Raw genomic sequence first — 14,348 nt, forward strand, 5'->3', positions numbered from 1 at the left:
CGGGCATTCACAATGTTTATGGAAAGTTTACATTTCATCTCTAATGCCAATGCTTCTGCATATTTATTTATACATTCTGTATATTTCTAATGCCATTGCTTCTGTATATTTCACCTCTAATACCATTGCCTGTCATGTGTAAGCTCCAGGAGACCCTCTTGGGTGACAGTGAACTTGAGCTGTGTAGCAATGACATTATCATGATATGAGTCTGCCCCTGATAGGGATAAAGGGTAAGGAGGGGAGAGGAACTCAGAGAGATAAAATGTTAATCACATTGTTAGGGCAGGGATGACAATAGTATTCACCTTTTCTACTTGACCAACTTAATGAAAACAGTAAAATTCTCTTGGGGAATTCTCAGTATCCATTGTTAACATCAATTACACAAGCAGTAGACATCAGGTCTGTGTCAGGAGCAAATGGCTGACCTGAAGAGATGCCTTATGTGCTTTGAAGGTAGTGCTAGGAGGGCTTACAAGTTATGTTGAATATTTGACATTGCTGATACCCAGTTGTTTTGGGAAAGTAAAAATCCTCCCTTTGATTGACTGGTGGTCTCAGTTTCCTTCTCTGCAATGGGGATTTTTTTTTTTTTTAATGCTTCTCTGTCTAACTGAGTAGAGCAAGGAAAAACCTCAGGAATTTCAGAAATGAATGTACCATTCACCTTTCTATTTTGAAGGCTAACTATTGCTTAAGTCAGGCCTTGTATCTTCATTATCAGTGTCAGCACATCAAAGTGTTAAGTATGGGACTGTGTTATGAAAGAGACCATGAAACTCTACTATCATTTCTTTTATACTTATAGGCATTGATCACTTTAATCAAAGATAAAACACCTTGTTTAAAACAATTAGCTTTGACAATACATGTATAAGCAGAACCTTAAATTGTAAATGTGTTCATTTTCTTCTTCCCTACTACACATATTAAATAATAGAGACAAGAAAAGTAGGTGGAAGATGATTCCAAGTAACTTTGGGGCATTATTACAAAGTGAAGCTGGTAAGATTTTTGTCTTTTTGACAAATTCAAGGAAGCCTGCAGAAAAAATCTTGTTTCAGGAGTACATTTTCACTTAGCTGTTCTCTAAGTAGAAATGCATTACTCCTAGAAAGAAAAATGAAAGTTCTTCAACTGCCGAAGACAAAATGACAGATTTGGCTTCCAGCAATACATTCTTGACAGCTACTAGAGTTTCAGGAAAAGAAAACAAGAAAATTAAATTTGACAGAAATGAAGAGGGGGAAAAAAGAAGCAATTTTTTCTAGTTAGCATCTCAATGTCTTTGGAGGGATTTTAGGGCAATTCCATAACAGACCACTTAGGCATCTCCCCCATGTTCCCCTATAGATGTGAATGTTATTTTAATGGAGCTGCCACCCTATAGACAACAGGTGGTGTCTACACGTGAGTCCACAGACTGACTGCATGATGACTTGCTCAAGAGAACTTGAGAACAAACGGGAGCCACGACACGCTTGGAAATGAATTGTACAGCTTTCCATCAGACTTCATTTCTGTAAACTTAAGAATATACTTCTGCAGAATTTTGCAAAAGCCTGTACTCAAGTTTGGGCTTCAGATGGAGGAGCTTGTTTTTTCCATGTTTGGACAGCTATGTGATCCAATATGGCAGGAGCTATTAAAATGTAAATTAATTTACCTATATTATTTAAATAAATTACTTAAATTAATTGGTTGATTATATTTAACATGCAACTAAAAAGTCGGTTCTTCAGTCACACTAGCCATGTTTCAAGGGCTCAAAATCCACATGTGGCTAGTGGCTACCACGTTGGACAGCGTGAATACAGAACATTGCCATCATGGTGGAAGGTTTTATTCACTGAGTTATCTCTGAGCTCAGGACAGAGTCATGGATAGTGAAGGGTGGGAATTGGGAGTGAAGTGGCACAAAAGGAATAAGCTGGGGAGAAGAGGTTGCAGCAGACTTCTGTGAGCAACCAGGAAGCAATTCAAGTCAAGAAATAATTGCTAGCCCAGGCATGGTGGTTCATGCCTGTAATCCCAGCATTTTGGGAGCCGAGGCAGGCCGATCACTGGAGCCCAGGAGTTTGAATAGCCTGGCCAACATGATGAAACCCTGTCTCTACCAAAAAATACAAAAAATTAGCCAGGCATGGTAGCACGTGCCTGTAGTCCCAGCAGCTACTCAAGAGACTGAGTGGTGAGGATCACTTGAACCCAAGAGGTGGAGGCTGCAGTGAGCCAAGATTGTGCCAAGGCACACCAGCCTGGGCAATACAGTGAGATCCCATATAAAAAAAAAAAAAAAGAAAGAATTGCTAATTGCCAATGCATAACCACAGAACCTGAGGGAAACATAGAAGAATAAAAGAGATGTAGTCCCTGCCCTCAGGAAATTCAGAGTAGGACAAAAGAAACAGAAATACCCATTACAAAACCACTTTAATACAAGTTCCAGTGACAAAAAGGACATCTCAGGAGACAGTGATCGAGGAGCTCATGGAGTTATAAACAGGAATTAAAGATGAGATCATTAAATGGCTGAAGGATGGGTGAAAAAGGGGACCAACGGGTAGGAGAGGAGGAGAGGACTCCACAAGGGAGATGACAGGGATTGGAGGGAAATGCAGGGGTGTAAGTGCTGGCAAACACAAGCTTGATGTGGAGCCAGGCAGGCAGAGGGTGTAGACTCCCCAGGATCACCAAGGACGGCTTTTTATTCATCTCTCACCACTACATTTGAAAGACATTTATTCTTATTACCGAAATGATGGAATAGGCATGTGCTTTGGACTCAGAAAATCTTGGGTTTGCACCCTAGCTCTACTACTATGTACCAGCTATGTGACCTTAGACAACTTACCTACCCTCTCTGAGCCTACCTTTTCTTCCTCATCTACAGAACTGGGAAATGATAGCTATTTCTAAATACTGTCACGAGGATTAAATGATGTGTGTAAAAGTGCTTAACAGAATGCCTAGCACATAGTAGATACTCAACAGGGTTAGTTTCCCTTCCCTTTTCTGAAGGCACTGGCTACATCTGCAGACTTTGGGGGCAGAATGCTTGGTTAAACTCCACTCTGCCTCTCATGCCGGCTGTGTGATAAGTGGGCATGTTGCATTCCAACAGAGGCATTCCCAAGTGACAGGTGAGTGTGGACATGTTACAGCTTAAGCCTGAGCACACCACTGTTTGCAGCAGGAATAGGAACTATTGGCAAAATCACTTGGTAGGATTCCATTCACACTTCTTATGTTAAGGAGAAATGTTTGCCAGTTAATCTCACAGTAACAATTTGAGAACGATGAGAAGAAATCTTGAAGCAACCACTCAGAACAATTGGGGAGGGAGAGGGGGCATTCAATAGGGTTTTATTTACACTTGTATGGTCAGATCTGCTGCAATCTGCGCCCGTGGTGACACCTCACAGCACTCCCTATTGGTTTACACTTTTAGAACTTAATCACATACATTTGGGCTTACAGTGTTATCTCTTCTATAACAGATCATCTGCTTCCTTTTCATTTATCTTATCTCCCAAGCCAATATCCAATTTTCTTGAAGGCAAAAGCTGAGTATATGCTCTTTCTATCCCAGGTCATACCTAGCACATTCCTGAACTTGCTGTAGAAAGGAGAAAAAGAGAAAGGAAGGAAAGAAAGGAGAAGCTTGTATTCGTGTTTGAAATCTGAAATAAATAGATATTTGATAATGAAATGGCCACACTGAGTAATACTCACACGGCCCATTACAGTCTAACATTTGGTGTCAAGTGCTGTGTTGTGGCACAGTCTGGGCCATCTTCATGTCAATCTCAAATAATCAAGACTGTATCTTGGAAACATGCTAGAAAAACCCTTTAAGGTTCTGCAGCCATTACTTGTTCTAAATTATTTTAAAGAGATACAATAAATCTTTTTGCTCATATTTTATATGTTTTTTAAAATAGTATATGAATTCATTTTCTTGCAAAAGATTTGAAAAATAGGGAAATATAAAAGTAAACCATAGAAGTTGCCTTCACACTTTCATCTCACTCCCACCCCCCTGACAAGCCCTGTTAACTATTTATTGTGTTTCCCTGAAGTAATCTAACTCACTAGGTTCAAGTTAGATCCATGCATTTGTTTCCTGTGGGTGCTGTAACAAATCATCATAAATTCAATGGCTTAAAGCAACAGAAAAGTATTCCCTCACAGTTCTAGAGGGCAGAAGTCCAAAATCAGTATCACTGGGCCAAAATCAAGGTGTTAGCAGGGCCATTCTCCCTCCAGAGGCTCCAAAGGAGAATCCATTCATTGCCCCTTCGGCCACTGGCAGCTGCCAACAATCCTTGGTTTGTGGCCACATCACTCCCCTCTCTGCCTCCATGGTCACATTGCCTTCCCCTCTCCTGCATGTGTCAGATCTTCTGCTTCCTACTTAGAAGGATCGCAATGTGGTGACATGTAGGGCCCACTGGATAATTCAGGATCATTTCTCCACCTGGAGATTCTTCATTACACCTGCAATGACACTTTTTCAGTATGTCATAACATTTACAGGTTCCAGAGATTTGAATCTGGTATCTTCAGGGGCTATTATTCAGCCCACTCCAGTAATTTGTTTTGTTTTTTGAAAAAACAGTGAAGCCTTCCTTCAAAAATTAATGACAATAATAATAACAAAACTGCTGTCGAGATCATGTTCATGTTACTACAACTGGGAAAAGTTAATATTCTGATGAATCTCTAACATCCCTCACCACTTTCCTCTACTTAATTATACTCCCTTTAAGGTCATCTGAAAAAAGTGGGATGTTCTCAGGTAAATATGCAGCTGGTAATTTAAATTCAGTGCCTCAAGATATTGTTTTTAACCTTCCTTTCTGTCTTCCCTTTCACAAGGGTAACTTAACTCCCAGTGCTCCCAGCCCCTTCCATCCTGTTGCATCAGTTTCAACTATGGTTGTTCTAGCCTCATTGTCAGAGCACGTGATGAAAGATCATTAGCATCTGATGCAAGGCTGTGCTCCCTCAGTGCGCTCCAGTTGGCTCCGTGCCCCCATGTGGAAACTGGGCTGCCTGGCGGTGGACCATGTGCCAGTCCCAGGAGCCCCAAAGATTCTGACTTTGAAAGCAATCTTCAGGGCTTTACCTGGGAAGCAGAAGAACTCTGGAGAACTCTGTACACAGGTGAGTTCACTAGGACGGTGAGCAAAGTAGAGGTAATGTACACTCCAGGAGGAAGAAAAAACCAAAACAGAAACCCCAGCCTCCACTGACCAACCTTCCTCTCCTGATTTCCCACTGAAAAGGCTGGATTTTCCACAGACAACCTGGAAGTTCTTGCCTGGGGAATGTACAGTGTAGAGACTTGGCACTTTCATTTTCTCATGTAATTATGCATTGAAAATGAAGCTTAATATTGAGCCAATAAGGAGAAGTTGAGTTCAAAACTTAACACCTTCCTACATCTTATGCCCTTACTCATCCTGGCTCCATCTCACCAGTATCTATTTTACTTTGGGGAAGGAAGCAGTTAAATTTCAATATGAAACAACAGCTCCCAGAACTTTCATTACCGCCAGTAATTACTGCTCAGGGAAAGGATAAATAATAATAATAATAATAATAATAAAGCATAACTCCAATTCCCCATAATCTGCCTGCTAGTTCAAGTGGCCAACATAATATTTACAATATATTTTAAGTCAAGCATGAAAAAGTTGAGAATACCAACAAACTTTATTATTTGGAGTGCTGACAAAGAACATAATAAAGCAATTAAACACCATGTCAGACCGGGTTCATTACACAAATATGCCCATCCTCCTGGAGGGCTGTTGGGCAGAATAAGTGAGGTAATGTATCTAGGGTGCTCTGCACAGTGCCTGGCAAGTGGTAAAGCCTTGATAAATAGCAGCTAGTGCTATTCTTAGCACAACAGTGGGGCCCACATGGAAACTCCACCCAGTAGTAGGCAAAGGGAGGAAAAGATATGGGAAAGAATGCACAGTAAGAGGTGAGGAGGGAGAGAAAGAGAAGAAGAAAAAGAGAGACCAACAATCAGACAGACAAGTGTCACAAGTTTCCAGCAGGATCACTTCTACCCTGGATGCATAATCCAAAATGACCATTTTATCTGATTGTTAATGCCTCCAATTGACCTAAAATTGTTATACTTTTTATTTATGTCAGAAAACATTTTCCAACTGCGGAAATGCAGTTAGCTCTATTGATTTTCTTTTCTTTACAAAAAGGAAAGACCCAGGTGATGATTTTTTTCCACTCTTCATCCCTGAGATTCATTTCTGGTTTTATGGTTTCATGGACCATTTACCTATCTGGAATATCTGGAAAGTGTGCCTGATTGGGTATAGCTTTCCTTTCCTGGTCAGCAACCAAGACCTCCCTCGATTGCCATAGTGAAATGAGTGAAATCTGCACCACCACGCCTGCCCTTTCAATGTGCTGTATTAAAATAAATTGATGACGCTCATCACCAATCTTTTGCTGGAGAGAGGGACATCAACATTAATATTCTTGTTTGCTTATTTGTGTCCTGTATTGGTCCATGGAGAATTTGAAGAGCTTTTCAACAAGAACACATGCAATACTATTGTAAGTTAGAATAAAGAATCAGCAGCAACAGGGGCAAAATAAATAAAAATAGAAAGTTGAGACTGAGAAAAGCCCACTGTGACTGAAATTTAGCAGGAGAGAGAAGTATCCAGGCAGCCTGAGCAGCAACCTGGGAGCCAGGGCCCAGGAGGCCAACCTGGGGATTGGAGAGAAGGAAACAGCAGGAGCCTCTGGAATCATCAGGAAGACTGCAGGGTGGAGCACACAGAGGGGAGGTCGAAAAGCCTGAGAGTCTAGACAGAGACAGCCAGTGAGCCAGAGATACCCAACTTTGGTCTTGTTATTGCAACTTAACTCCGCCCCTCATCCCCCTTTAGTGTGGCCCCAGGGAAATACAGATTACTAGTTTCCAGTCAAGAACTCAGTGCGTAGGGAGCCTGAGATGCTGGTTAAGGCAGATCCAGATGCTCTTGAGATCAGATCAGCGAGTGGCAAAGTGAGCATCTGCAGGGTCTCCCATGAGCAAAACCAGGAATTTCCTGGAGAAACAGAGTCTGCTCTAGCATGGCAACAAATGAAGGCTAAGCTTGCAGCATTCTATACCATGGGTCATGGCTCTGATATTCTTGGCATGGAAAATACTAAGTCGCGTCTTACCAGTCATACAGCAAGGTCACAAAAAAAAGTCTCAGAAATACCCTCATGAGCAACAGCTTCCCAGTGAATCTGCCTGGATGAATTAGCTGCACAGTGTGTCCCCAGAGGAACTAGATGAAGAAGCCTGCAGCAGGCGGGTACTAGATATGAGGCAATCCATTTTGGAGGACATCTGCCAAAAGAATAATTTTCAATTTAAGATGGTTAATATTGAATCACTCTTTAAAAAAGAAAAACAATTAGCTAGCAGGACCACCTATGTGCTGTAGGCCCCTCCTGGTCCCTGCCATGAGGCTACAGATCAGCAAACTGGAAGGTTTGCAGGTTTGCATTCTCCCATCATCTGTAACCAGGCATCCGGGTGACTGCAAAGAAGTTTCTAATCATTAAAATATGACTTTGCAAATAGGTGACCGTGGCAAGGCACAAATCACAAATTTATCCAATTTCTTAGCAATCTATTCTGGCTTGGATAACCCTACTTCTTACAGAACTATGAATTTACCAGGATTCCTATCACATCTGAATTAATAGCATAATGATTTTTGAGTGCTATGAACCTTCCAATTGCCTCTTCTGATTAAAAAACTGTGTGGGAGGAATCCACTAGGGTACCTCTTCCCCAGTGTCCTTGTCCTTCATTATCTCAGGATAAGTAGAATAATGGCCCCCCAAACATATCCACATCCTAACCCCTGGAACATATGCGTATGTTAGGTTACATGGCCAGAGGGAATTCAAGGTGCAAGTGAAATTAAGTCGTTAATCAACTGATTTTGAAATGGGACATTATCTGGGGTTTTCTCAGTGGGCCTAATGTAATGACAGGGTCCTTAAAAGTGGAAGAAGGAGGCAGGAAAGTCAGAACCAGAGAGATGGCATTGCCAGAAAGACTCAACTAGCCTTTGCTGGCTTTGATGATGGCAGGGAGCCTCTAGAAATCAGAAAAGGCAAGAAAACAGATTCTCCCGTAGAGTCTCCAGAAAGGAACTCAGCTCTGCCAACACAGTGCTGATTTTAGCTCAATTTCTAATTTCTCACTGTAAAATAGTAAATTACTACCTTACTAGTATGCTATTTCTCCCAAACTGCAACTCATACATAACCGGAGAGTTCACCTCTCTCTTCCCAGATGGCAGTGGTTCTCCAACCTTGGCTGCACATTGGAATTCCTTGGGAATCTTTCAAAACACTGAATCCTGGGGCCCAGATCCAGAAAGTCTGGCTTAATTGTTCTGGAGACTGCCCCAAAATTCGGAATTTTAAAAGCTCCCCTGACAATTGTAACGTGCAGGTGAGTTTGAGCACTGTCATTAACTCCTCAGTGTCTCGACAGTTTTTAGTCTCATGCTCTTCAGGCCATAACTGTTTCCTATCAAAGGCTGATGAAAGAACAATAAAAGATATAAACTGACATATAATTGTTGACAGATTTCTTTCCATAACAATGAGGGCATAACCATGATCGACAGTGGAGAAACCGTACTTGAATCTTGTTTGTTTCTCATATAAAATGTTGGCACAGGACATTGGGTCCCTAAAGCTCTACATTGATCAGAGTTTACTTGCAAAGAACTGAATCCACTGTAGCTTGTTTAAGCAAGAAAAATATTTATTATAGGATACTAAATGGCTTACTGAATCATTGAGAGAGTTAAAGAAATAGCCTCCAAGCCATGCTTTCAGGAACAAAAGCCACAAGGTATAAATGGTTACCTTGGAGCTTCTACCTCTTGTGTGGTGTGATCAGGAAGCAGCTGGCTCTGGAATCATACTACCCCCACTACGATGGGGAAGCTGCAACAATGCAAAAGCTGCCATGTCAGAAAGTCACACCTGCCTGCCGTGACACACACTAGCAGAAGGAATGCCCATGGCGAGCTTCTTAGCGCTCATCAACTCAGTTATCAGACACTGGTATCTACGTTAATGCTGAAAAAAAAATCCCTCCATGACTGTGCTTTCCAGAAAAAAAAAGCCAGAGCAGCAAAAGTACAGCTTCCACCTCACTTCTGCTGTCCAGATCTTGTAAAAATATGTTTAACTGGCTCAACTTAAATGGCATTCAAAACCTTAGCTGCAAGAGAGTCTGGGAAAAATAATTTTTTTTTACTCTCTAACTTTTGTAGTTGAAGAAAATTCTCTAGAAGAAAGCTTGAGTGGATATTGAGCACCAATCCACAATAAATTCCATAGACTGTTCCTCTGGCTTTTCAACATACATGCTTACTTTCTGCCTGTATTCAAAGTTCCTAACTGTCCCTTGTACCAAAAAAAAAAAAAAAAAAGCACTCACTTCCCTTCAAAAGGAGAGACCCAAAGTCCTCTAAGTCTCTGCATCTATCTTTGGGTGATACTCATTTCTTCTCTAGCTCAGTCACAACCCCACCATAAATCCCATTTATATGATATTCTGTAAGATATAATCTCATAAAGTTAACCAACATCAGTAGGCCATTTATAAAATTGTGAGGATGAGGGAAAGGAGAAGAGGAAAATGGTCAATATACTAAAAATATACATAACAGAGAAAGGAAGAAAATATTGATGTTTATGATAGTTCTAGTTACTGTCACAAGGCTGTAGTTGGCACTTATAATTTTTTTCCTCCACAACCCGTTATAAGTTACTTTTGTCTCAGTCAGCCCCATAGCTGGGCCAGGCTACTTATCTGGTGGAGTCACCCAAATCTTGATTCCTAGTGGCTCTGAGCCCCTGGTAATCCTGATTATACCAGATTTCAGTAGTCTTCCATTAAAAGTTAATATTAAATATGTAAATTAAATATATAATGCTAATATAAGGTAACTTTTACCAGTGGGCATGACATTACTTTGAGGTGCCCCACAAGATCCCTTGGGTTCCAAAAATACTCTTTCTTAGTCCTGTTATATAACAGCAATCCTATTTCCCCTTGATAATTGGGATTAATCACCCTGCTGACAGAGTAGTGACCCCTCTTTTGCCTGTTGGTTCATCAACACAATTTCTCCAAAATGTTCAATGGCAATCTCAAATTCCAATCCAATGAGACAAACTGGCATCATGTGCATCCTGATGTTTTCCATTGAGAAAAACACAACATTGGTTGGGTGGTATTCCTGCCAAAAGTGCATCCCCTGAATCTAATTGTGAGGAAACAACCCATCAGACTGGGGAAAGAGGCTTACAGACATTCACAAAACGGGTCAATGTGTCCAATTTACTTTTCAGCAATTTCTCATCAATACATGGTTATTGTGAACAAACATATAGGTCATGCATATCCTTATATTCTGTGCCCATCCTGTAAGTTCTAGTCACATACGACTTCTGCACTCTTTCTTGACACCAATATTCCAATCTTTTGCCTTCCAAATTTCTGATTACCAGCTAATCCAGTGCCCATTAGCCATTACCAATGAATCTGTGTTGACCTGGACCTCTGAACATCTTTATGTTCAAGCAACATTGACAAGTTCTACCCATTGAGAGGTTTTCTTTCCCCCACTTCAAGATCACCACTGAGTGGTGCTATAATGCTACATCAGTTGACTTCCAACTGACACAAGAATGTCACGCAGGTGCATCCACAAACCAGGATCGATTTTTTTTTCTTTTTCAGATAACTTATTCATTGGGCCCTCCGAGGAATCTATAGTTGTTGATTAAGGGAGAGGGTGATGCAGCAGGTGATGCCCTAACAGCGTGAGCCTCCCCTCCCGGCTCAGACAATACACTGTGTCTTCAAGACCATGTAACAGTGAAAAATGAAGAATGAGAAGACTATTCTTATAGCATAGTTAATCAACTAACACCCAGCTCATGAAAAGGAAACCAGGACTGTTTCTCAAAGGGAGAATAGTCAACTGACAAATAGGGCATAGCTTTGCTCCACAACCCCAAGGAACCACACTGTAATTCTCCTAGAGGGGCTTGCCACAGGTTCCATGCACCATCCTCATCTGATACAGACACTTCAGCCACTATTAGATCAGCTGGGTTATTAGGGCCAAGTGGTAGCACTGCTTGCTCTGCAGTCTGGACCATCTGAAAAGCCTTTTAATACTCTGGGCCCTACTCCAAGTTGGTAGCCATACAGGTAGCTCAGTAAATGGGTCCAAGCAGCACATCCAAATGTGGTATGTCTCCAAAAGCCAAAAGAGATCTGCCAAGCTTGTGCCTCTTTCACAGTGGAAGGTGCAGGAACTAGTTTTTTTTTTTTTTTTTTTTGGCGGGTGGGGGAGTCTCGCTCTGTCACCAGGCTGGAGTGCAGTGGTGCAATCTCGGTTTACTGCAATTCTTCTGCCTCAGACTCCCAAGTAGCTGGGACTACACGTGCGCACCACCATGCCCAGCTAATTTTTGTATTTTTAGTAGAGACGGGGTTTCACCCTAGTCTTTCACTTTGGATGGGGTATCCCAAAATGCTCCAGGCCACTGGCCCTCTATCAGCTTTACTGAGGTGATGGGTCCTTATGTTCCTATGATTTTTTAAATATCCTCTGTCATGTATGCATCTTACCAAGAGCACATGCTGCTTCTTTCACCAGGCCAAATAGAATGATGTCATTAATGTAGTGAACCAGCATGATGTTCTATAGCATGGCGTGATGGTCAATGTCCCTGCAAACTAAAAATGTGACTGAGAACCTGACAGCTGACACAGCTCAGAGATAAGATAGGGATAATGCACTACATCTCTGTGAAGTAAAAGACAACTGATTCTCGTATCTGTACTAACTAGAACAGGAAAAATAGTATTTGCCAAATTTATGGCTCCATACCAGGTTCCAGAAACTATATATTAATCTGACATGTGAAACAGCAAAATTGGAGTCACTGTCTGAGAAAGTTTACAGTAATCTACTGTCAATCTCCAAGACCCATAGTTTTTCTGTAAGGACCAAATACGTGAGTTTAATACAGATACGAGAAGAATCGTCATCCCTGCCTTTCTGTTATTTCCTTGAGGTTGTTGTATTTTTTCTAGGAAGGGGTGGTGTTACCATTTTGATAGGTGAGGTAGTTGCAGCTTCCACTGGACCCTTGACAGTTAGTAACCTTTACTCCCCAAAACCATTCTCCAGGTGCTGAAATGTGTACTCCAACTGTGCATTCAGGAGTTGAGAAAATAATCACAAGATGACTTCACAAACCCTCTAGGATCACATCACTGAGAGATAAAATCAGACAAGAATTCTACTCGTAACCTCTAGAGAACCACAGTGATATGTTTGGTCTCAGGGGATTAATGTTAATAAAAATTAGAATTCAATAAGCCCTCAAAAGTCTCGGTTTTTCCCTTTTCCCAATGCACAGTTGAGTTGTTAAATTGCTACAAGTTTCTTTGAGAAAGGTTAGGAGGAAGATTTACAGTACATTCTCTTAGTAGGATCTCAGGATCCTGGCTTCCTCTTCATTCAATGGCCCTAGGTTTATAAACTCCTTAGTCTAGAAATTGGGTGAAGTTGGGCCTATGTTTTCCAGATCTACAGTATTTTTTATTAAATTGATCCTGATAGACTGGCCATCTACTCATTCCTAGAAACTCAATGACCAATTAACTTATAACAAAGGTCAGCTTGCCACTCCCATCCTGTTGCCAGTAGCTGTTTCCACCCTGCTTCTGGCATTCAAGAATTTCTACTTGGCCTCTGCCACTCCAGCATCTCAACACACCCTTTAATATCAAAATGCCCATTTCAATAGCAGCATTTTCTACCTTCACTCCTGGCCTACAGAGGACTTCACTGCAATACTTTTCAAGAATTTGTTTCTCACAATTGTGTTCTCAATGCCTTGGTGAAAAGAGCATCCTTGGCAAGTGACTGGGTCATACACAAAATATCCATTCCAATAGTTCTTCCTCCTAAATGTTTGGATCTCTTCCCCTATGCTATATCATGAATTTCTGACACCTCAATTTCCTTGCAAGTATGCCACCTTGGGGTCCTGTTTCCAGTCAATCAGACAGACCAAGTTACAACCATTCCCATCTTTATCAACGAGAACAATGAACTTATACCAATAAATCAAGCCAGATTTGAAAGTTTGCGTCTTCCTCTGTGGCCTAGATTCTTCTAATCCACTCCCACACCTATTCCCCAGGTTTTTGCTGATATAAAATGGGCAAAATCTTGCAGTTCTTTGAGTGTGTAAACTTTTGCTTCTTAAGATAGGCATTGTCCTTTCGGAGTGTGCTGGGGTTTGACTCTAATTATAGGTCTAGAGCAATGAATGGTGGGAGATGAGAACAGGAAGAAATCTTGCAGCCCCTTGCATGGAAACCACTTCAGCAAGACCATTCCAGAGTCTCTAAGGAAGGACAGACCAGCCTCATCACGCAGAGGAGGAGAAGATGTGTCTACTGACAAGGGAAGTTTGATGGAATTCGGAGGACTTGTATACTCAGGTTCAGTTGAACTCGCCCAAATGGCTCCATTTCACTCCTTAGGGTCTCACCCCTTCCCAATCAATACCCAAACTTTCATGTAAGTGACCTAGTGATGCTGTGAGTTCAGACCATCTTTCATCATCAGCCCACAGGATCAAACTGCATGTGACGATAGAATGCATCAGCCCTGTGGCTACATGAAATAAATGATTCTTCTAGAAAGTCATAGAAGCTCCCTGGTCCTCAGATCATGCCTCATACTAAAAACTTTAAAATTCTTAGCATATAGTTTTCTTCTTAAAGCTCTCCAGTGCAGGCAGAGACAGCCATCCAAATCCACAGTCCATGTTTTCCTCATTTTCTCCATAATGATTAGCAGGCACTCAGTCCACTAAAGCCTTGTCTTCACTGGGCACTTCATTCCAAGTGACCAGTGGGTGATATTTTAAGTAACTATTTTGCCACTGTCAAGCACTGCAAGCATTCCATATTCTAATGCTAACCTCATCATTGTTCCTTTCAAACCCAATCAGGTCAGAAAACACAAATCCAGGTTTCCAGTTTCTTTAGAGTATGTTGTCTGTAACCCTCCTGGCACCAGTAACAGTCATAGTCAGGGTCCTATTGCAGAGAACTTAAGCCATTCTAGCAAGTTTAAGCATGAAGGGATTATAGAGCATTAAAAAGCTCACTGAATTATTGGGAGAGCCAAGAAAACAGACTAAGCTTGAGATTTCAGAAATGACTCCCAATG

The 14,348-nt window shown here is 41.4% G+C and overlaps 1 long non-coding RNA gene across 2 annotated transcripts in view; it reads right to left on the reverse strand.

Moving 5' to 3' along the window:
- Positions 1 to 14,348, reverse strand: part of SLC1A3-AS1 (SLC1A3 antisense RNA 1) — a 59,294-nt gene that overhangs the window by 32,567 nt on the left and 12,379 nt on the right. The window contains exons 2-3 of one of the 2 annotated variants that reach the window (XR_001742638.2): positions 7,219 to 7,390; positions 2,420 to 4,503 (exon numbers count right to left, since the gene is read on the reverse strand). The exons of the other annotated variant lie outside the window; for it this stretch is intronic. This is a non-coding gene — a long non-coding RNA (SLC1A3 antisense RNA 1). Of the gene's footprint in view, positions 1 to 2,419; positions 4,504 to 7,218; positions 7,391 to 14,348 lie in introns of those variants that run through there. 2 annotated transcript variants of the gene reach the window in all.

This window comes from Homo sapiens, chromosome 5 (assembly GCF_000001405.40).
Source record: "Homo sapiens chromosome 5, GRCh38.p14 Primary Assembly".
In the NCBI taxonomy this organism is placed as follows: Eukaryota; Metazoa; Chordata; class Mammalia; order Primates; family Hominidae; genus Homo; species Homo sapiens.